Raw genomic sequence first — 23,083 nt, 5'->3', positions numbered from 1 at the left:
CTGGGATGAGGTGGCTCCTTCCAGACTAAAGCTGGCTTTTCTGGCTCTGGCTGTGCCTGCCTTCTAGGTTTGTCTACTGCACATCTGACAGGTCTTGTGATGGAACCTCAGTGATACCAAGATGGAGACAATGAGGTCCTTGTCCTCAGAGGACTCCTGGCCAGATGGGGGAGGTGGGCAAGGAAACAGCAGTTTTAAAACAGTGTCACAAGTGCTGCACGGGGCTGGGGCCACGCCATGTAGGGGTCTCTGAGCAAGGCACACAGACCTGCATGGCTGCTGAGCCTAATTTACTGAGCTTTCTAAATGGGTCAGCTGGGTGAAGAGGACAGTACCTGTGCAGAGGACATCTGTTCAGTGGTAGGAGCCACTGTCCCCATGTGCCACGTCTTCCATGTGGGGCATCTCTTTCATAGCCCTGGAGCACCTACTGTGTGGTTCTGTTTCAGAGGAGCTATTGCAGATTGCTACTTGTTCAATAAAATTATTGAAGTTTAAAATGTTCTAATTAATATGTGTTGGCCCAGGAGCCACCTCCCACCTTTTCCTTATTGTTAGGAAGAGCCCAGCCGTTTCCTGGGAGACAAAGGAGGCCATGAATCTTGACTCCTTGTGATTCCAGGATCACTGTCCTGCAGCCAGGTTCCTGACACTAGGAGATGCACATGAAATATCCTCCATCAGGGAAGGAATCTCCCTCCAGTGAGAACTCCCGAGAGGCTGATGATTGACCAGGATTGACAGGACAGGGAAAGAGCAGCCCTTTCACATCCCAGGTCAAGACCAGTGAGGCCCAGAGAAGTGTCCCAACCTTCCCACGCTGGGAAAGGCAACCAGGGCCAGGGCTGAGCACTGAGCACCAGGCCTCCTTCCTGGCTTCTCCCCTCTCTGGAAGCTTAGCATTAGACAGAGCCGCCGAGCTGTGGTGCTGAAGGGTTAACTCGGGGCTCCCCAGAGAGCCGCACACTCCCGACCCTCTCATCTTCCAGGCCCTCTCAGCTGCAGCCTTCTGGGCATAGCTGGGTCACGTGAGAGCCAGATGTGGGGATTTCCCAAGCAGTGGTGTGTGCGTGCGCACTGCGTGCATGCACAGCTCTGTTTACGTGGCATCTCAGCGCTCAGGGGATTGGTCTGGACCCACGCAGAGGAGGGGAGGGATGGGGTAAGGAAAGGCTCAGGGGCTCCCAGCAAACACCATGGGAGGCTGCACCAAGCCCTGCTCCCCCCAGACATTACACATGAACGGGTCGTTCCTGCTCCGGCTCCTGTTTCCTGTAGCGTCCATCCTGCCAGAGACTGTACTGCTTAGGGGTAATTTTTCTAAAAATCTCTTTGAAGGGCATTAAAGCAGATGCTGGGAGCCAACGCCCTTCAGGGTGTTCTGCAGGCTCGGAGGCCTGCACGGGAGCCACTGTGCCCAGCACAAGCCAGGCCTGTATGCCTGTATGTGGTTCCGGAGGCCAAGCCTGGACTAGAGAGGGCAGAGCCGTGGGTATCAAGAGGGTCCTGGGGCAGTGGGGTAGCCGGGCCTCAGTTTTCCATGCACCCTTGGGCTTGAGAGCAGTGAGTATTCATCTTTCCATCAGCCACTGAGGGTTAATTGGGCACCTCCTGCATTCAAGGTGTTGTGGGGTGCTGACAGGGATAAGGCCTTGAAGGAACTAAAGGTCTGATTGAAGAGACTCATAACAAATCTTTAATAAGCACCTACTATGCGCTATGCGCTTGCTAGGACTATAGCCCTAACCAGACGTTTGGAGCCAGTGGGAACAGTCAGTGAACAAAGATCCTGCCCAGGGCATGATAAGGGAGACAGAAAACCTTGAAAAGTGGGTGTCCTCAACCTCAGTCCAGGAATGAATTCTCCTCCTACCCCTGACCCCCCATCCCCACCCCTGTCTTGCACCAGTGGATGGCAGCGTCCAGCCAGATGTCCCTGAGGCTCCGTGAGCCCTACCCCAAAGATGGGTCCAGTTATACCTTCAAGGCCTCCAGGACTCAGCCCTGCCGTCTCCTCCCTCAGACCTTCCGGGACCCAGCCTGTCTCCCCAAACCTACATGACTCCTGAAGCAGACAGGAATGCTGGGGACGGTGTCTGTGGTTGTGTGTCTGATGCTTTGAGACAGAGGGTGGAGAGTCAGATGGTCTCAACCAGGGGCCGTTGATGCTCCCGAAATAGTTGGCGGTTGATTCATTGATAATCCGATAGCAAGAGTCCAGTCTGGAGAGAAGGAGACATTCCACATTTTGTTGTCCGGGGAGGGGAATGTCTGTCCTGAGTCCGTTGCTATTGACTCCATCACTCACTCGCGGCTCTCAGGGAGACTGAGCCAGGGAGGAGGCGGATTGCAAGACTCGGGGCTGGAGACCAGCGACTGCTGACTTCATCCCACTGCCCAGCCTCTCTGCTGCTCCTTCTCTGTGTGAACGCAAATACTGGCTTTGGCTCGGGCTTCTGGGGGAGCTGGAGGGTGGGGGAATTGGAGGGAGGATCTCCCAGTAAGTGAGGGAGGACCACCAAGGCAGGCCACCCCAGGGAGGGAGGTGGCTGGGATCCTGGAACTCAGAACAAACTTGAGTTTGTCTCTTCTCTGCACACAAATGCCCTGGGGTGGGGAGAGGTGAGAACCTGAGAACTGAGGGGGAGGCCGCAACCCAAGGGGCTGCCATGGGTTGGGCAGCAGCTGCTGGGATCAGAGAGGCTCTGAACCTGCCAGCCTCCCTGGCCAGCACCCCTCTGTCCACCCACGGCACCTCTCACTAACCCAGCACCTATCTTTAACCAGGAAGCTTCCGGTCTTCTCAGCAGGGTGGAGGGAGGTGACAGAACTACCTGCTACTCCCTGCCAGGGCAGCCCCTTCTAGGCAGCCTCAGTGCTCCTAGGGCATCCTTGGCTTCTCCGTCCACACCCACTTAGGCTGGGCTGACCCTTCTGGCCCCAGGCTTGGCCTAGGCAGGCACCCTTGGACTTAGTCCCTAAGGGGCTGTGGAGGGTCTCCAGGCCCAGCCCCCACTGCACCCCATCCCCCGCCTGAGCAGGGAAACTGCTCCTTGACTGCATAACCCAGGGCCAGAGGGTCAATAGTGCATTCCTACCCTGGGTTGGGCTGCCCCCACACGTGTTCTGGATTCCAGGGAATGAGGCAAGTCCTTTCTTGCTGCATTTACGAAAAGCAGCAGAAATAAAGAAAGCCTTGGCCAGTGGCCAGGGAGGATCAGAAAATGACATCCCCCATGAGGACCCTTTGTTCCCAATTCCTGGCCAGCCTGCCTGGGCTTAAGTCTGATGCCATCACTTCTTGCTGTAGGGCCTTGGGAAAGAACCTTAACTTTTCTTTTTTTTTTCCCCCGAGACGGAGTTTCGCTCTTGTTGCCCAGGCTGGAGTGCAATGGCGCGATCTCGGCTCACTGCAACCTCCGCCTCCCGGATTCAAGCAATTCTCCTGCCTCAGCCGCCCAAGTAGCTGAGATTACAGGCATGCACCACTATGCCTGGCTAATTTTATATTTAGTAGAGATGGGGTTTAACATGTTGGACAGGCTGGTCTCGAACTCCTGACCTCAGATGATCCACCCACCTCAGCCTCCCAAAGTGCTAAGGTTACAGGCGTGAGCCACCGCACAAGGCCAGAGCCTTAACTTTTCTGTGCCTCACTTTCCTCATCTGTAAATTACAGACTGTTGTGAAGATTAAACAAGAAAATGCTCATAAATGTTTAGCACAGCACCTAGCATGAATGTTAAGTAAGTGGAAACTGGTATAATTATTCTAGCTCCAGCCCTACGACTTATTTGCTGTGTGATCTTAGGCAAGTCTCTTCTCCTCTCTGGTTCTGAGACCCTAAATAGTCCTTCCAGCCTGTGGGGGTACCACCAAGAAGCCAAAGATGTAGCAGAGAGAGGGGACCTGGAGACAAACAATGGCCTGGCTTTCCATTTGGGATTTGCTTTCTGTCTTTAAGAAGATATCCATCAGAAATTCAGCTCTACTAGATTTCTTCTTGAGTACTTCTGTTTATTTAGCTCAGTGGCCCCAAACCCTCAGGTCTTGGGCATAGCTAGCTACATAATTTGCAGGATCCACTGCAAAATGAAAATGAAGACTCTCTCATTCATAAATTATTGATGAAACCCCTGACAGAAGAGCATTAAATCAGCTGCAGGGACCCTTCTAAACCTGGGACCCTAGGCCACTGCCCAGATCACACCTCCACGAAGCCAGCTCTGCCTTGGAGGCTCTGAGTGTAGGAGCAGGCCTGGGGTCCGAGCTGCTGCAATAACAGTATTCACCCCTCGCCCTCCAGTGCAAGGGCACTCTTTTTTCATGCCATGGGTATCTCTGACCAGCTGGCTGCTGCTTATCCTGGAACAAGCTTTTGTAGAGTTGCCCACATCAGAAGCAGCTCACACACTAAACAACTGCCCCCTGGACCAGACTTCCACCCAGGTGTGCTTGGATTGGAAGTCATACCTGAACTATTTGTTTTCTGTCATCTTAATTGGTGTTTGTTTTTGTTTTTTTGTTTTGTTTTATTTTGTTTTGTTTGTTTGTTTGTTTGTTTGTTTTTAAGAGACAGAGCCTTGCTCTGTTGTCCAGGCTGGAGTGCGGTGGCGTGATCTCAGCTCACTGCAAGCTCCACTTCCCAGGTTCAAGCAATTTTCCTGCCTCAGCCTCCTGAGTAGCTGGGATTACAGGCATACACCACCACGCCTGGCTAATTTTTGTATTTTTAGTAGAGACGGGGTTTCACCATGTTGGCCAGGCTGGTCTCAAACTCCTGACCTCCTGATCTGCCTGCCTTAGCCTCCCAAAGCACTAGGATTACAGGCGTGAGCCACCGCGCCCAGCCTGGTGCCATGTTTTTTAAGACTTTTAAAGAATTACGAATTGGCCATCCGTGTTTTTCCCAGATGACATTCACGTGGCTTTCACTGTTACGCCTCAGCTTCTGCTGCTCTGAGCATGACAACCTGTTTCAGGTCCTCTAAAGTGAGTATCACATAGGCCAAACTACTTTGTAAAGGACCGATAACCCTGTTGGGCTGTCGTAAAGATATGAGTTGCTGTGTGCCTATACAGTAGTGCCTACCACAAGGAAGTGCCCTGTTCATGGCAACAATGACAATTACTGTTACTACTGAATAATAGGACTAGCATCTCTTAGGCCCTAATTATTTGATGGCCTGAAAGTGGTGGCCGAATTTCCTGGTTTCCTAACCAGAAAGGAAAAGAAACGTGGAGTCTGCAGGAAACCTAAGAAATCTAGCCCTGTACAAAGTTTAGTTGTATGGGAGAGGAAAGGCTTAAACTGCAGCAGTTATTTAGAAACCAGTTCAAAACTGCAATGAGGTAAGAACAGTATTCCCAAAGAGAGAGAGGGCTTGAGTGCTCCAGTGTGTAGAGATACTGAAGGATGGAAGGGCATGGAGAAGACAGGGAGGTGTTCATTCCATCGGGCCCCTGGCCTGTCACCCCTCCCCTCCCCAGAGCCCAGGGTGGGGATGTGGAAAGAAACTGACAAGGCTAGTGACCCTGCCCTGGTCCCCTGAGCCTGTGGTTCTCTTTCATTCTCCGTGGAGTTTTCGCTGTTGGCTGTACTCATTCTGGTCTCTCCCACCTGGGCTCATGGCCCACTCTGGATTTATTAGTTTGGATGGATGGAACTTGCTTTACACCAGGGAAGCATTCCTGGAAACATGGTTTCAGACTAGATTTGGATAAATTCAACCCAATTCTCACTGCTCTGGAGTTACTCAAGGTTAAAAGAAGCCTTACTATGAATCTATAAGTGCCCTTTTAAAAATTATTTTATACTTATTTATTTTGAGACAGGGTCTCACTCTGTTGCTCAGGCTGGATTGCAGTGGCGTGATCATGCCTCACTGCAGCCTCGACCTCCCTGGGCTCAAGCAATCCTCCCACTTCAGCCTCCAGAGTAGCTGGGACCACAGGTAGGCACCACCACGCCTGGCTAGATTTTTATTTTTTGTAGACATGGGGTCTCACTATGTTGCCCAGGCTGGTCTCCAACTCCTGGGCTTAAGCAATCCTCCCACAGTGGTCTCCCAAAGTGCTGGGATTACAGACGCGAGCCACCATGCCCAGCCTTTATTATTATTATTTTTAAGACCAGTCGAGTGCAGTAGTGAGATGGGGAGAAAGAGTGGAAGAAGAAGTTTGACGTGTAATTCACTGGGAACAGTTGAGATACTCACCATCTTCAGAGCAGCCAAGGACCCTCTCCTAACCTAGGCCTATCCAGTTGTTCCTATGAAGTCCTTGGATGTATGTGTGCTGGATGGGGTGGGTTGTCCTTAAAGTCAGGGGCACCTGCAGTGTTGTTCTTTGGTTTCTCAGCATCACCTGGGCCTGTCAAGAATCAGGTTCAGCATCTAAGTACCTTTGGGTCCCTGTATTTGGCCGGAATCTCCAGGCCCCTGGTTTTCTCCTGGCCTGGCTTCTTGCTGGTATTGCGAGCAATGCCAGGACGGACAGCCATGGCAGGGACATGAGCACTATGGGCTGTGTGAGGGAGGGACATGGCATACCTGCCATTTCCAGGAACCTACTGCTTTTGCTTTCAGCTTTGTCCCTACCACTTACTCCTCTTTGTGTCCAGAGGCCTAATTCCCAGCCCTCCAAAACCTTTCCCAGGCATTAGGCCATTTCAGTCTTAACCCTGCAAAGAAGGCAGGGCAGGTGTTTTTTCCCCGTTTACAGAAGAAGGAACAGATGTTCAGAGATTTCCTAGCTATCCCAGAGTCAGCGAGCTAAGTGGCAAAGCCAGCACAAGAACCAAGGTTGCTTTTATTCTTGCTCCAGATCTCTGCCCTCTGTGCCTCCTGAATCATCCGCTATTTTGGACTCGGGTTGCCTCAATTGAGCCTGCATTCAAGTGGTTTTCCCAGGAAGGACAGTCCGTTTCTCTGGAAAGATTCATTTCCGCTGTGGTCCCCTTGTGTTATGGAGACTACCAGTTTTCTGCTGGGAAGGTCTAGAACGTCAGACAACTGCCTCAGGCAGGCCATCAGACAAGAGCAATAGGCCCAAATGCTTAACTGTACAGATGTGAGCACTGAGGCCCGGAGTATTTATTTATTTATTTAGACAGAGTCTCACTCTGTGGCCCAGGCTGGAGTGCAGTGGCACGATCTTGGTTCACTGCACCTTCTGCCTCCCGGGTTAAAGCGATTCTCATGCCTCAGCCTTCCGAGTAGCTGGGATTACAGATGCTCACCATCATGCCCGGCTAATTTTTGTATTTTCAGTAGAGACGGAGTTTCGCCATGTTGGCCAGGCTGGTCTCGAACTCCTAACCTCCAGTGATCCACCCACCTCGGCCTCCAAAGTGCTGGGATTACAGGGTGAGCCACCGCCCAGCCAAAGCCCAGAGTCTTTAAGCCACTTGCCCAGGGCCACACAGTGTGTTCTCAGCAAGAGCCAGGGTGCAGGTTTCCAGTCTGATGCCCTTTACTTTCTAGCAGGCCAGTGACCCTGCTCTGTAGGGCCGTTGGTTCTGGATCACCAGAGGAGATGAAGGCAGGGACAGGAGGAAGGCAGGAAGCAGTTGGTTCATGTCAGTCACAGCTGCTCACTTGGCTGCGCCCCCCGCCTCCCCCCCACTGCTCCTTCACCCCTGTCCCTCTGTCTCTCCAACTCCCCGTCTTCCCAGCCCTTAGCCAACAGCCTTGTCTGCCTCCTGGCTGGAGGGCCAGGGTTTGTGAGCCAGGGGCTCTCCTCTGTTCATTGTAATGAGGGAGAAGGGGTCCTTCCCACCCCTCGAGAGCTTGCTAGGGTGGGCTAGAGAGAAGGGGGAGGGACTTTGAGTGGGAGCAGCAGAACTGGATTAATTCTGCAGGTCAGGGGACTGGGAAATAAATCATGTTTTAGAGAGAGGTTTCTTTTTAAAAAGACAGGCTTACTTCTGGTCTGCTTCCCATTTTCCTTTACGGAGAGATACGGGAAGGCCTGCTTATGGGGACTGAAGGGGACAGGCATGAGCTCCGGTTGTCTGCTCACAGGCCATGTCCGGCCCCCTTTTCGTTTTATAAATAAAGTTTTATTGGAACACAGCCCACTCATTCTTTTATGTATTGCCTGTGGCTGCTTTTGTACTATAAGAATAGAGTTGAGTAGTCTCAACAGAGACCATCTGGCCCCCAAAGCCTACAGTGTTTATTCTCTGGCCCTTTGCAAGCACCTGTCCAGCAAAGCAGGTCTTCTTGGGTTCTCCAGGCCCAGGCAAAACAGCTTTCCTTGGCTCACTGAAAGAGGTTAGTGCTTTCAGGTCTCCTTATGAAGAACCCAAAAGGAACCCAAAGTAGACAAAGTGGTCAAGCAAACTGAAGTGGAGAGTGGCATGGAGAGAGGGCCAGATGGCGCTGGGATGGGCCTGGTGCTAGGCCTGTTCAGGGGCATTTCAGGGCCTTGCAGCAGGCAGCCCACTTGGCCACATCTCTGGGATGCAGCAGCAGGGAGTTGAAACTTCAGCAAGATGTGGGCACCAGGCAGCAACACCCACATTCTGAACCCAGACCTCCTTGGCCATACCAGCTTAAATCCTTGTGGAGGCCCTTGGTGTGTCTACCTTGTCTCAGCCCTACCAGGGCTTGAAAGCTGGGCCAGCATTGCTCCTGCTCCCCAAGGAGGCTGCTGACTGCTGAACCTGGGGAGGGGCTGTAACCTCAGATTTTGCCCTGTTTGTCTCTGGGTGAGGTCCCCTGGAGTCCCTCTACCTTCCATTCCAGATAACCCGGTGTCTGAGAGTGACTGTGGGGCAGTATCTCTAACAGGGTGCCAGCTTTTTCTTGGTGCATCCAGTATTGAACACTGTCTAGTTCTTGTCCTTGCAGGCCGGGGGCATGATTTTCTGGGTGTCCCCAGAGCTGATTGAACCCAGGGAGGCAGGCTTATGCTAACCACGTTCATGGGAGTTACTGCCAGTGGCGGCTAACCATTATCAAGCACTGACTATGTAGTAGGCACTGCACTGGGCACTATTACATATTATCTAATTTAATTCTCACAGCAACCCAGAAGGTAAGTATATCACATCATCCAGATTTTTACAAGTTCAGGAACAGGCTCAGAGAGGGTAAGTCACTTCTTCAAAGGAGCAGAGCCTATATTTGAACCCAGGCAGTCAGACCCCAAAGGCCTTGCTAGACCGCTCCACCAAAGCCCCACTCTGCTAATTTACAATGAGAACCAGAAGGGGGCCAGGCTTTCTAGTTCTACACCGGGAGCCAACCTGCAATTGGAAGGTGGCTTGCTGAGTGAGGGAAAGAGTCAGGTGCTTTAAATAGAGAGCAGCATCAAGCTCTGATTAGCTGAGGTGTGTGTCCCTGCAAGAGATGGACACTGCTGTACTAGCTGTGTGATCTTGGGCAAGTTATTTAACCTCTCTGGTTCAGCTTCTTCATCTGCAAAATGGAGGGGATAATAGTACTCATCGTTGTAGGTTTGTTGGGAAAAATACCAGTTACTATATGCAAAGTGCTCAGCAGGATGCTTGGCAAAGGGGAAATGCTGTATAAGTGTTTGCTGCTGTTTATCAGTACTCTCTGAATGGGTCAGGCTGCTCTCCTGGCAAGCGCCTGGTGGGCAGTGCGAGAGTTTGTCTCTCAGACCTGCAATTCAGCGTTGCCTTTTAATTGTCCCCACTGCAGCCAGTGCTCTGCTCCTTTGGAGGTGATGAGCAGCCCAGCAGAGAAAGCAGCAGCCTGGGGATGCCACCAGACCTGGTTCCATGTCTGAGAGTCCTCCCCGGTAAAATGGGGCTAAACATGCCTACCCACTTGATGGGGTTGCCATGGGGACTAAATGAGTCACTGTAGTTCGACTGCATCAATGCTTTTGACATGGTGGCCCTCTTCTCTTCTATTCTAGAAATACGCAAACCATTGATTAGACCAAGAGCTTTCTGCCTCATTCAGATGTTAATGGTATCACATCTCAATCATAAGTTCTTTATGCTGCTTTGATTTTGCTCCTTCCTCTTGGCAGGAGGACAACTCTAAATCCCATTTCACAGGTGAGGAAACTGAGGCCCAGATTGGACACCACTGTCTGAGCCTGGAGTAGAGCCCTCATCTCTTCTGGTCACTCAAGGTCCCTGTCCTTCTGCTTTGGGGTTGGGGAGCAAGACTCCCTAAAACGATGCTCCCTCTGCTCTGCTGGGGCCGATCTGTCTTCCTCAGTGGGTGGGGCTGCAGTAAGGGCTGGATGACACATCAGGGTCTAGTGGGTGTGGTGCCCCCAGGCCTAGAGATGGGTCCTGGGTGCTCCAACCCTGACATTTGAGGTTCTGGGTCCAGGCCACTGAGCCCGCTGGCCTTTGAGGATCCTTGCAACCATCAGGCCCCGTGGGACCCAGCCACCCACATGGCCAGAAAGGAAGGGTCAGGCTGCCTTGTACAGGGCTGTGATAACCACGGGCCCCGTTCCAGGGAGGATCGTGTGGGATTCTCTGTGCTCCGAAGGAGTCCTGCATTTCGGCGGACACCTCATTATCCCTGTCCCAGCCGGCTGTGTCCCAGCGCCTCTGTAATCACACGGGCCCACGCCCAACAGCCAGCCCAGGGCCAGGAAATCACTCTCCTCCCTCCTCCGCCTTCCGCCCGCGGCTGGCCGAGCGCGGCGCCTGCAGCCACTCACTGTGGACCTCCTGCCTGCCTAACCGTTCTCTCTCTCTGGTTCTCCTCTCCTGCTGCCGCTTGCTCTCGGGGACTCGGAAGTGTGGCTGTCCAGCTGGGCTGAGTCGCCCAAGAAGGACGTGACAGGTACTGCCCAGCGTGCATGCATGTGTGTGAGCATGTGTGTTCCAGGTCCGTGTGCGCGGGAGCCGGTGCCTGCAGGCCCTGCGCATGCTTCCCTGTGATGTGCAGCAGCTGTTTGCCAGCATGGCAGGGGGTCTGCCACTTGCTGTGCCCTCTGCCTCCCCAGTCAGATCTGAACATGGGGCCCTTTGCTGAGTGATGACCACGTAGCTCAGCGTGTAAGCACGTGTGCTCTGGACCCAGGGTGTGTGGGTCTGAATTCCAGCTCTGCTACGTCCTGGCCATGCTGCCTTGGGTGGGGTGTGTAACCTCCCTAAGGGGAAGCCATCCCACCTCGTGGGGAGCCTGGCACACAGAAAGTGCTCAGGCAGTGGTGGGGCTTTCGCCATCTTCAGCCTTATCTCAATTGGCCGTCTCAGTGAGAGAGCCCAGCCAAAGATGGTTCATCTCACTTTAGGCAGGTAAACTGAGGCAGAGAGCAGCGGGCCCTGACACCCAACCCTCATTTCCAGTGATCTCACTGGGGAGCTGCAGATTTGGGGCAGGGGGTGGGGCAGTTCTGTGACTGTGACTGAGGGTGGGTCACAGCCCCCATGCCCAGCAATCCAGAGCTTGGCCTGCCTGGCTGAGATGGCCCTCAGGGACTAGGGCCTTGGCCTGTGTCTGGGAGGAGCTGGGCAGGGGTCAGGGACTTGCCTTCAACCTTTAGTCTTATGGGACCATGGCAGAGAATCCCGGACAGCAGGGTTCTCAGCTCCTGGATGGAGATGGTCGGAGGAGGGATGGAATTTCCAGAAGGGTCTTCTATGGGACCCCTCCATTTTTGAGGCTGTTACACACCCTGACCCTCTAGCCCCAAACCTGAGAGCAGAGGTTCAGGCTGGGGGAATAGGGGACAAAGCAGAAGGGTGGGAGCTGAGTGGGGTGGTGGGGCTGGGCCAGCCCCAGTGTTTAGAGCCCAAAGCCCAGCCCCTACTGCTGCAGCTGTGGGCGGGGAATGGGAGGTAAACGTGTTGGGAGGAGTCCAGAGGAGAAGAGAAGGCAGTGGGTCGGAGGGCGTTGCAATCTCCTTCTGGAGTTTCCTGTGACGAGGGCCTGGGCCTGAGCTAATCACTGGGCTCCTGTCCCTTTTTCCCCTCTCCACACGCCAGTGAGCCAGAGCCCACTTGGCCCACAGCAATACATTTTATTCACCAAACGTATAGCGGAGGGGCCAGCAGTCCCAGTCCAGCCTGGGAGGAACCAGTTATAAGGGGCTAGAGGGACTTTTGTAGGATGCCCAGGGTTGGGGAGTCGTGGGGAGCCTGGGGTGGAGGCCAGCACAGGGCCTTACTAGCTCTGTGACCCTGGGGAGGACACTTAACCACGTCTCAAGATGATCCCAGCTGTTTGGAGTGAGAGGCCCAGGGGAGGCAGTGTGGGCTGGGGGAAAACCCAGCCAGACTGCGAGTCCAGGGCCAGAGTCTCTCTGGGCCTTGGTTTCTCCATCTGGAGGGTTGGAGGGTTCTTTGAGATATGAGACAGGAAACTCAGAGGTAAGGGCTGATGTTGGAGATCCTTATAGATCAGGGGCCTCAGGTTGCTTAGCCTGGCATCCCCCCAGAGTAGGCCCAGGGGGCTCTGAGCTGCCTCTCAATCCAGCTGGCAAGTACCCGTTACCTGCTGAAGGTAGGGTCTGGGAGGGGCATGTTGCAGGGACACAGCCCCCGGCCTCCCTTCCCCACCCTTCTCCTGGCACCTGCAGCCCTGGCACCGAGCTGCCTGCTGGTGAGCCCACGAAGGAACCAACAGCTTTGCTGCTCCTCAGATCTCCCATTCCCTCCACTTGCTTTAAAATGACCATCTATGATTTCCATAGGACTTGAAGCCCCGTCACTTCATTCCGTGCTCAGAACAATTCCCATGAGGTAGGAACTGCTATTGTTCCTGTTTCCAGATGACACTAAAGCTCAAGAGAGGTTACGTGTCCTCCCCAGGATCTCAGAGCTAGTAAGGGCAAAGCAGGACTGGACCTCAGACCTTTGGACTCTAATTCTAAGCATTTCCATCATGAATTTCAGGTAATTACTATGTCCCATGTCATGTCCTGAGGCACCAGTCCTGGAGTGTCGAGAGACTCTTGTCCAAGGCACATACTTTGGTTGGGGAGCAATGCCCAACATAAAGTCCAGGAGGGAACAGAAAAGAGGGAACAAGAGTGATCAGGAGCCTCCTGGAGGACAGAGATGCTTGGGGAGAATTGGGAAACTGGGATTGGTAGAGAGAAGGGAAAGCATTCCAGCAGGGGGCAGCAGCTAGAGCACAGACTTGGAAAGTAAGAAGCTGCATGGAGCAGTGGTGTTGGGTGTTGGCGCCTAGTGGGTGCTCGATACATGTGTTGAATCATGAATGATGTATTGAATGGTGGTGTGGGGGACGGGGATCAAGGAACTTGGGGAGCTCAGATTGGCAAGAAAGACTGGGCTTGAATTTGTCCTTTATAGGCAAGAGGGAGCCGTGGAAGGCGTTGGAGCATGGGACTGACTTGGCAAAAGCCCAGTTGAGAAGTTTAAGTTGGCAGCCAGGGTTCCATCCAGGTGGTAGTTGAAGGAATGCAGATGTGAGGCAAGGGTGGGGCAGGGGTCCAGGGGACCCCTGGGACCCCAGCAGGTCCAGCCAGGGGCTCTGTAATAAAGCACAAGGGTCCATCTCTGGATCAGACTCATGCAAAGGCCCCTTCCAACCCAGGAGAGGCTCTGCTGTCTAGAAGAGGTACACCCCTTCTCCATGCTCCTGCCAAGCACTCCTCATCTAAAGACACCAGGCTCCCTCCACTGCCCCCTCCCCACTCAGGCAGACTCCTCCAGCCCCTAGTTCTGCAGGCCTTGGCTGAGAGGGGATCCAGAGTGGCCTCTGTGGGATGACATCACCGCCCACTGCCTGCCTGGCCTGCAAGTGGTTTCTCATCTGGATACCTGCTCGCAGCTCCCGCCCGCCCGGCTGCCCTGGCCAGGGAACACCCTAAGAGGCAGCTGCCAGAGGGAAGAGCTGGGAGCCTGCCTGTGCAACGGGAGGGAAGGGCAGCCAGAAGGACAGAGTGTCCGTGTGTCCATCCCACAGCCTTTGGAGCAGCTCCTGAGAGAGGCCATAGCCTGTCTGTGCTTTCCAATGCCTAGAGAATATTTCCTTAACTTTTCTACCTGTGTCCCAGAGAGTCAGCCTTCAGGAAGGTCAGGCCAATTTTCCAGGAAAGTGGTGGGGGGAAGGGGTGTGGGGGTGTGGATTTAACTCTGCTTTGAAACCCTGCCTCAGATTTTCTTGGCTTGGATTAAAATGAGCTGATGTCTGTCCACTCCCCAGCACCTCCTGCTCGTCCTCCAGGCATCTTCTGGCCACAAAGCTGGGGCTTCTTTCTCCTCCTTACCTCAGTTTCCCCATCTCCCCTTTCTCCCTTCGAGTTTGGCTCATTTTCCCATATTCCCATATCAGAGTCAAGGTATTCATATTGACACCACAAACCAATGAGTCCCTCTGTTCATCTTTCTGCCAGTTCACGCGTTTCACTGGTTCATTTCACACTTATTGAGTGCCTGCCACCTAACAGGCACTGTGGTCTGGTCAGTAGAGGTGGCAAGAGTCAACTAGAAACCCATACTCTAGGCCAGGCGTGGTGGCTTATGCCTATAATCCCAGCACTTTGGGAGGCCAAGGCGGGCAGATCACTTAAGGTCAGGAGTTCAAGGCCAGCCTAGCCAACATGGTGAAACTCCATCTCTACTAAAAAATACAAAAAAAAATTTAGCCAGGTATGGTGGTGGGCACCTGTAATCCCAGCTACTCGGGAGGCTGAGGCTGGAGAATTGCTTGAACCTGGGGGGCGGAGGTTGCAGTGAGCCGAGATTTTGCCACTGCACTCCAACCTGGGCGACAGAGCAAGACTCCGTCTCAAAAAAAAAAAAAAGAGAGAGAAAGAAACCCATACTCTAGTCTTTATTAAGCAGCCGCTGTGTCCCAGGTACCTGGGATGTAATGGGCCCTTCCCTAGGGACCAGGCGCCGGTGGCCCATTATAGGCCACATACAGTGCAGAAGTTAAGATCATAGGCAGTGGTGTCAGGTGGGCTTGGGTTCAATCCCAGCTGTGTGACCTTAGAGAATTCACTTACCCTCATGAGGCTTGCTTTGCCCATGCGTGAAACGGGGCCATCACAGGACCTACTGCATGGGGTTGCTCTGAGGATTGGACGAGGCAGCTCGATGCTGTTGGATGCCTCCAAGTCAGCACTGATGAAGGCTTGCTGTCACTATTGCTATGATCTGGCCATACTCAGGCCTTGCGGGCTCTCTAACCTGCCACAGAACTCTCTATTCTTGTTTGTTGCTGGAGCCTTTCTTTCCCACTCTTCTCATCCAGTGCCCCCACACTGGGAAAGGAGGCCCCATTTCTCGTAGGGCAGGGATGGCCCTTTTTGTGCCGGGTGCGCTTAAGAAGTGCTGTTGGCCACAGAGGCTCCAGGCATGGAACAGGCACTGCTGTTCCCCTAGGGGCACAGTGGGAGGTAGTCCGTCAGCGCAGCACCCGGCGCTGCCTCTGCCCAGCTGGCAGGGGCAGGCACAGAAGCTGGCATGCCTAAGTACAGAGGCGGGGCAGGCCCTACTGCCCGGCTGTTGGTTGCATTTCTGCCTGAAATACAATCCCGGCTTTAGCAGGGCTGCTCGGGACTGTGCACGTGCGAATGTATGTGGCACACTCAGCTGTGCAGGGTCCCTTCTGCTTCTCCAAAGGGCTGAGATGGGCCTGCAGGGCCCACACCTCATGGGAGAAAACTGCCGGGGGGCAGTGGGTTTCTTTCCCTGGAAGGAGGCCTCCCTTTGGGATTTCCTAGAGTTCTGTGGCCATTGCCGTCTGCCCTAGGTTGGAGGGAGCCTCCCCCTACAGAAGGACCCAAAGATCTAAGTAGTGCTTCTTGCACCTGGGTGCACACAAGCACCATAGGGACACAGGGGGGATGTCCAAAAACTACTCATGCCTGAGTCCCAGACCAAAGAAACCTGTCTCTCTGGAGCCCAGCATCAGTACTTTTAAAAAGCTCCCTGGGTGATTCTGTGCTTCCAAGTTGAGGATTACTGTGCTAGAAGAACCAGACTGATGGAAACAAATCAGAGGCAGTTATTCTGCAATGGAAAGACAGATGGGCTTGGGCCTGAACAAAATCATACTGAATGAATGTGATGCTCTTCATAGCAGCTGTGGGAGCTAGAGTCGTCTCTTGCCTGCTGTAGAGGGGCCTCTGGTTAGTCTTTTGTGAAATGGAAGATAAGGGGGATGTTGTGGGCATGAAATGGGGCGGTTAATGTGCCTGGCACATCACATTTGCCAAGTCAAACTCAGGCGTGTGGGGAATGTGGCTATAGGCTGAGGCACCAAGGGGGCTGTGTGGAACTTGGAGACCCTCAGCAATTTTTGTAGCCAGGCTAGTGACATGAAGCCCCCTAGCCTTCAAGGAGATTGGCAGACATATAGTTTATGCCAGTCGCAGTGGCCTATGCCTATAATCCCAGCACTTTGAGAGACTGAGGCGGGAGGATCACTTGAGCCCAGGAGTTCAAGACCAGCCTGGGCAACAAAGTGAGACCTCAGCTCTACAAAACATAAAAAAATTAGCCGGGTATGGTGGTGTGTGCCTTTGGTCCCAGCTACATGGGAGGCTGAGGTGGGAGGATTGCTTGAATCCAGGAGGTCAAGGCTGCAGTAAGCCATGATTGCACCACTGCATTCCAGCCTGGGCAACAAAGACCCTGTCTCAAAAAAAACAAAAGTATACTAGGAATTCCCTTTGGGCTGGGGGTGGTCTGAGAAGGCTTCCTGTAGGAGGTGACTAGTCCATTTCTGGCTAGTGGATCCTTTTCACTCCTAGCTAAAAGCACATCATAGGCCGGGCGCGGTGGCTCACGCCTGTAATCCCAGCACTTTGGGAGGCCGAGGCGGGTGGATCATGAGGTCAGGAGATCGAGACCATCCTGGCTAACAAGGTGAAACCCCGTCTCTACTAAAAATACAAAAAATTAGCCGGGCGCGGTGGCGGGCGCCTGTAGTCCCAGCTACTCGGGAGGCTGAGGCAGGAGAATGGCGTGAACCCGGGAAGCGGAGCTTGCAGTGAGCTGAGATTGCGCCACTGCAGTCCGCAGTCCGGCCTGGGCGACAGAGCGAGACTCCGTCTCAAAAAAAAAAAAAAAAAAAAAAAAGCACATCATATTTTAAGTGTCTTATCCCCCCCCGCCCCCCCCCCCGCCAATAATGGTGATGGGAAGAGTTGAAGTGCAGAGGTTTAAGCAGCATCCAGTGCCACTCAGCTAGGAAGCTAAAAGGGCACCCAGCCTGTCTGCCTTCCTGCCTGGTGCCTGCTTAGCAAATGTCGTGCTGGTCCAGTGGCTGAGGAGGACAGAGAAGCTGCTTGCTCCTGGGAGTCCACCTGCCCTCCCTCTGCTGCACCCAGCTTTTGACCCCTCAAGCCCCTCAAACTGCCGGGGCCTGACCACAAGCCCCGGCACTGAAAGGCAGAGAGAAACTGAGTCAGTCTCTGCAGCCAGAGGGCCCTCTCTGGAAGCAGGGCTGGGGGCAGGCCTGAGGCTGGTCCGACTGTACCCGGCCTGGGCTCGGTGGCAGCGCCTGGGTGAGCCCGAGGGGCAGGAACGGAGCGAACTTGAGGAAAAGTTGGCGGGGGGCGGGCTGGGCTCGCCAGCCGCTGGCGCGGGGACTTTCTTCTTGGGTTTCAAGTAAACAGTCTAGGCCTCCTCCCCCTCCCCTGCCTCCACCCCCGGCTCCTCATTCGACGGGTCTCATGTGTTTCTATTTAAGGGTTGCGAGTAAACCCCAGTGATTGGCGGCCTCAAACCCTCTTGACTCCTCGCCTGGGCCTGGGCCGTGGAGAAGCTCTCTCCCGCTCTCTCCTCTCCCTCTCCCGCCCGAGGGAGCAGGGCTGCCTTTTCTCTCGGGTTTGCAGGGGTTGGGGGCAGAGGCTGGAGCCTCCTGCTTGCCTTTCCTTTGCCTCTGGCCTCAGCCCTCATGGGCCGCCCACCCGCTGGCTCGCCGCCCTCCCCGATGCCCCTGCCGGCCCGAGAGGGAGGCCGGAGAGACCCCGTCGGCCCCAGGCCTCCCCGCAGGCTCCCTCATGCCGGGCTGTGACTAACTCATCGCAGCACAAGGCTTCTTTCTGAGCTTCCTTGGCCTCCGCCTCCGCTCTGCCTCTCTCTTTCCTCCTCCTCCTGCCCGTCCCCTCCCCGGCCCCCTGGCTCCCCATGTCCCCCGGACCCCGCGGTGCAGCGGGCCGGTCTGGGGCCTTGCTATATGGCCTGTCCTTGGCGCCCTGTGAGCTGCGAGCCCCGGCTGCGGGCTGCCCCTGGGAGCGGCGCTGGCGACAGAGCAGCCACCCCCGAGGAGGCCGATGGACAGGGGGCGCCCTGGCCGCGGGGCCATGGCTGGCCGCTGGCTCACCGCGTGCTTTCTGCCCTCGCCAGGTGCCGACGCCACCGCCGAGCCCATGATCCTGGAACAGTACGTGGTGGTGTCCAACTATAAGAAGCAGGAGAACTCGGAGCTGAGCCTCCAGGCCGGGGAGGTGGTGGATGTCATCGAGAAGAACGAGAGCGGTGAGTGCCCTGGCCAATGGCCGTCCACTGGGGTTCCGGTCTGGCCCCCGGGCCGAGCTGGTTTTTGTTCCTCCCTCCTCCCCCACCGCTGCAGCTATACGTTATTTCCATCTGGCAGAGAGAGGGCCGAGGCGGCTGAAGTTTCCCCCTGTTGGTTTGGGCTGCAGGCCAGCAGTTTGCCTGGTGGTGGAAGAATGTCTCCTTGCTCGGGGTAATTAACCAGCCTGTGTTAATTGCACGTTTCAGGCACAGCGCGGGAATAAATGGCCAGCCCTGCTGGGGTCCCCGTGCCCTCGGAGGCCCGTGGGGCAGGGTGCTCTCAGCTCAGGGATGCCCAGCAACAACCACGTTCTGAGCCAGGGTCCAGGGTCCAGGCAGGACAGCCCAGCCAGCTGGTGGGGAAGGCAGGCCCTGCTGTCACCATGGGGTCCAGGGTCCCCGGGTCGCTGGCAAGTTTGTGGAAGGGCCAGGCCTGCGGGCGTTGGTTGGGGTCTGGTTGGGGATCTGACTGCCCCCTGCCGAGCTGGAGGCCCCAGGACCTGGAAAGCAAGCGCAGTGAGGGGGATGCAGCCAGGCCTGGGCCAGGCAAGGTCCGGCACTGACAGGGGCCGTACTGACAGCTGCCCGGGGCAGCTGGTTCTCAGGGTGCCACGGAGGGGGCAAAGGTACCTTGGTGTCCCTGGCAGCAGGAGTCATGGCAGGTGAAGAGAGGAGAGCCCAAGCCTGTCAGTCCAGGCTTGTTCGGCCCCCAACAGGGCCAGGGCTGGGACTCGAGCCCAGGACATCCATCAGCCCACAGCCTCCCAGGGCTTGCATGGGTTTCTGGGGTGTTTTGTTTCAGTTTCGGTTTGCTGCAGGGAAGGCCCCTGTGCTCAGAGCCTCTCTGAGTGGTGTTTGGTGGATACTTCCAGAGGGGAGGAGCCTGTTCTCCTCTCCTAGTCCCACTCTATGCCTTGCCAGTGTTTAAACCCGGAAAGGAAAGGCAAAGCATAGGACAGCAGTGCCTGCTCCGTAGAGACAGGAATCGAGACACAGGGAGGTTGCGGGGAAGGGAGTCTCCTGAGATCCAAAGCAGAACCCTGTGCCTCCTGGTGGCCAGGAGCTGTGGAGATGCTAAGGAAATCCCAGTGGGCCTCCTGGGGGAGGTGGGTGCAGGCTCCTGCCACCAGTGGCTCCAGAGAACAGGGCTGTGATATGCGTATAGGGTCTGACTTGTGGCCCTCCTGCTCTGAGGTCTTCGAAGTGCCTGCTCCCCTCTCAGGTCAGACTGTGTCTGCCCTTGTGCCTGGAGTCATCACCAAGGTGGTCAGCAGTGACAGTCCTCCCTGGCAGAGCCATGTCCCTGCTGTGAGGCCTCAACCTTTCGTCCCAGGTGCCCACACTGGGCTCCTCCCTGGGCAGCTTTGTCCTCAGCCTTTGTCATGCTCATGGTGCCACGTCCCTGCCCGCAAAGTAAGCTAGCAATGTCATGGGGGTCTGGCTCTGGAAACCCCCAGTACCTGAAGACCCAAAGCAATGGATCTCTAATGGTGACATGGGAGACCTCAGGCGAGGGAGATGTTTGTTGTAGAGCTTGCATCAGGAAAGGTGGTTGGTTCTTCTCAGAACTTCTGGCTAGGGAAGTTCTGAGCAAACCAATGGTTCTCCCACCACGCCTGCCTGTCACACCATAGCCGTTTAACCCTTGAGCAGCAGGAGGTAGTGAGCCCCCATGTCTTTGGGGGCTGCCAGCCACTGGCCAGGATGGCTGAAGATGAGAGCACACAAGAGGAAGTCATCCTGCTGGAAGACTCCAGGATTCCCAGGGCATGTGCGCCCTCTCCCCTCCTATCCCATCTACAGGACCCTGGGACACTGGAGTCCTAGGATTGGGGGAAGGAGCCTTGACAAAGGGGGAGATGCCTGCTCTCCTGAGGAGCTGCTGATGGCTGTTAGAGGTGGCCCAGGCACCCCAGCTCCCCACGGCCACCCGTGGCCAGAGCAGGCCAGTCTGGCACGCAGACTGTGTGAGGGAGCTGCTGTTCTTAGAAGCCGCATTCTACCTGCCACTGCCTGCTGGGGGGCTTCATGTCCCTTAACTTCTCTGGGCTTCAGTTATTCCTTCCATAAAATGGAGATGACCTTGTGGCTGGTTGGAAGCAGGGGCTGGAGCAAATGACCTCCCTGAGCTCTCTCTCAGGTCTGAACTCCAAGGCTGGGAAACTTGGTGGGACTCAAGGTGTCGGGTAGAAAGAGTTTCCCTGAACATGGCTTTTCTACTTCTGGGAGTTTCGTATCTTTACCGTTGGTAGAGACAGCTGCTCAGCTGCAGATATTTGCACAGGACCTGCAGTGCTGTGCCTACCTATTCAAACCCGTCTGTTGCTATCTACTAGGAGGCCTGGAGTATACATCCAGCCTAACCAGAGAAATGAAGTGGGTGGAGGGGAGAAAGGAAGAGGGCCAAGCTGCAGATCTCTGGGATGGTCGCTTCCCAGTTCAGGGAAGCTGGAGGCCTGACGGTGGGGGAGAGGAGGCGTCTTGTGCAACCTGAAGGAGTGGTGAGTGAGGCTTTTGAACTCAGGAACAAAGACCCAATTGTGAAGCCTTTGACCTTGGGACACAGTGGGTGTGTTGAGGCATTTCCATTTGCGTTGTTGGGCAATGGCCCCAGCCAGCACCATCCCCACCTCCCTGGGCCTTGCCTTGCCCACAGGGTGCCAGGACTCTGCCTTTGTCCCCTCTCACTTGGCTGGGAGTGCCTCAAGTAGAGTGTCCACAGGGGGACCCAGCCACCTCTGGCTCTGCCTGCTCATCAGAGCCCCTCTGTGCTCTCATTGGTCTAAAGAGAGATGTGCATGGAAGGTGATTCTGAGTCAGTAAACACCAGGTGGCAGGCCACATGCTTCACATACATCATTCTTTTGGGATATCATGGAACAACACCATGCAGTAGAAGGGAGTTTAACCAATTTGTGGCTGAAGTAATAGGCTAAGAGGCTAAGTAATTGCCTTAGAGTCCAAGAGCTAAGATCTCTCCCCTCAACAGAGGTCATGCAGGGAGGCTGAGAATGGGCCCATCCCAGGTGGGAAGGGTAGAAGTCCAAGTTGGCAATGCTGTAGGTTGAGGCGAGATGCAGGCTGGGTGAGATGGCTGTAGAGCTCCCTGGAACATCTGTGGGGAAGGTTGTCTCTGCATCCCTCCTTCCAGCTAATGGGAATTCATGTTGTTCATTGATCCATTGAACTTAGGGACAAGAAACAGCTGAGAGGGTCTGAGGAAGGTGATGTGTACCTAGGACTGAGGACAAACCTGTTCCAGAGAACAGGAGTCAAACCCAAAGTGAGACTTGAATAGCTTTAAGGAAAGCATTTGTGATCAACCAGTGGGCCTAGGGCCAGACCAGAAGAGGACTCTTTTTCTCCATTGATATACAGGGACACATAGAGCAGGAAGATTCATAGCTTTGGTAGCTTTGCCACCCAGCAAGCCATACCAGGGCATGCAGCCGCCATTGTTACTTTGTCTTTGGAAACCCCTCTACCCTTGACATAAGCAAAAGTGCATAAGGCGCCTCCTCTTTAGGACATTCATTTGCCTCAAATACTGCATTGGCTTCCCTCTCCAGCAGGCATAATTTCTGGCAGCGTGGTGACATCAGGGTCCTGGTCACTCTGATTTGTGTGTTGAGCAAAGCTGCATCCAACTTCCTAGGATTGTTTCTTCTTAGGACTGCAGGCCAGGGGAAGAAGTGGGGAGATGAGTCAACAAAATTTTTCCTGCCTCACCTTTCTTCTCTGAGTCTTTGCTTACTTCCTGGCACCGGGCATGATACATTGGGAGTTCTTATACTTCCATGGAAGCAAGAAATTTTGAGCTCCTGGTCCATCATTTTTTTTACAAGTGAGAAAACCAAACCTTGGGAAGAATTTGAGAATTTTTACTCCCCTCTAGGGTCAATGCTTTAGTCCCAGTTGAGTTGTGAGCGGAGAACAGAAATTCACTCAGACTTTCTCAAGAGACTGTTGAAGCAATAAAGGAAAATCTCACCAAACCCAGGGGTGAGAAGTAAATCAGCCTTAGGAGGCTGGAACTGGGAACCAAAAGTCAGCACGAGCCAAAGCAGCTTCTCTGTCTCTCTTACTTACCATGTAGATTTTTTTTTTTTTTTTTTGAGATGGAGTTTCACTCTTGTTGCCCAGGCTGGAGTGCAGTGGCATGATCTCGGCTCACTGCAACCTCCACCTCCTGGGTCAAGCGATTCTCCTGCCTTAGCCTCCAAGTAGTTGGGATTACAGGCACCTGCTACCACGGCTGACTAATTTTTGTATTTTTAGTAGAGACAGGGTTTTACTATGTTGGCCAGGCTGGTCTCAAACTCCTTACCTCAGGTGATCCACCCGCCTCGGCCTCCCAAAGTGCTGGGATCACAGGCATGAGCCACCGCGCCCAGCTACCATGCAGATTTAAAGCACAGCTATGCTCTTCTAACTGTAGACCAGCCTGCCTTCTCCTCTCATCCGACCATGACAGCAGCTTGTTTGAGTGGCGTTGGTTTCTCAGGACCAGACTTGCATGACTTTTCAGTTGAGATCTCTCCCGACAACTGAGTTTGACCTCTGGTTCTCTGAGTTCAGAATTCGAAGTTTGAATCTGATTGTTTTCTCACCAGCAATGGATTGGCAAACGTTAGA

General features: G+C 54.4%; 1 protein-coding gene and 1 long non-coding RNA gene across 12 annotated transcripts in view, besides 3 other annotated features; one reads left to right on the top strand and one right to left on the bottom strand.

The window, feature by feature from the left end:
- Positions 1-23,083, top strand: part of SH3PXD2A (SH3 and PX domains 2A) — a 261,550-nt gene that overhangs the window by 176,185 nt on the left and 62,282 nt on the right. For 5 of the 11 annotated variants that reach the window (NM_014631.3, NM_001394015.1, NM_001394022.1 and 2 more), the window contains 2 exons: positions 10,740-10,784; positions 18,278-18,409. In NM_014631.3, the coding sequence (NP_055446.2) occupies positions 10,740-10,784; positions 18,278-18,409 (177 nt within the window). Of the gene's footprint in view, positions 1-1,176; positions 1,312-10,653; positions 10,785-17,687; positions 18,410-23,083 lie in introns of those variants that run through there. The other 6 variants (NM_001394020.1, NM_001394021.1, NM_001394018.1 and 3 more) reach the window with 4 other exon arrangements.
- Positions 775-944: an enhancer, noted in NCBI's record as "active region_3968". NCBI's record gives its function as "activates an Ori minimal core promoter by ATAC-STARR-seq in GM12878 lymphoblastoid cells {active_cell/tissue: GM12878}" and the evidence as "EXISTENCE:reporter gene assay evidence [ECO:0000049][PMID:35858748]".
- Positions 955-1,014: an enhancer, noted in NCBI's record as "active region_3967". NCBI's record gives its function as "activates an Ori minimal core promoter by ATAC-STARR-seq in GM12878 lymphoblastoid cells {active_cell/tissue: GM12878}" and the evidence as "EXISTENCE:reporter gene assay evidence [ECO:0000049][PMID:35858748]".
- Positions 13,241-19,232, bottom strand: LOC124902495 (uncharacterized). The gene is made up of 2 exons (XR_007062276.1): positions 18,255-19,232; positions 13,241-13,445 (listed from the first exon to the last, which is right to left on the bottom strand). It is a non-coding gene; the product is annotated as an uncharacterized LOC124902495 (long non-coding RNA).
- Positions 21,112-21,613: an enhancer, noted in NCBI's record as "H3K4me1 hESC enhancer chr10:105417537-105418038 (GRCh37/hg19 assembly coordinates)". NCBI's record gives its function as "activates a minimal SCP1, AML or CMV promoter by ChIP-STARR-seq in primed H9 embryonic stem cells {active_cell/tissue: H9 hESC(primed)}" and the evidence as "EXISTENCE:reporter gene assay evidence [ECO:0000049][PMID:30033119]".

The sequence above is a fragment of the Homo sapiens genome, chromosome 10, assembly GCF_000001405.40.
Source record: "Homo sapiens chromosome 10, GRCh38.p14 Primary Assembly".
Classification (NCBI taxonomy): domain Eukaryota; kingdom Metazoa; phylum Chordata; class Mammalia; order Primates; family Hominidae; genus Homo; species Homo sapiens.
The sequence above is the reverse complement of the archived record's forward strand: the minus strand, read 5'-3'. Positions and strand labels throughout refer to the sequence as shown.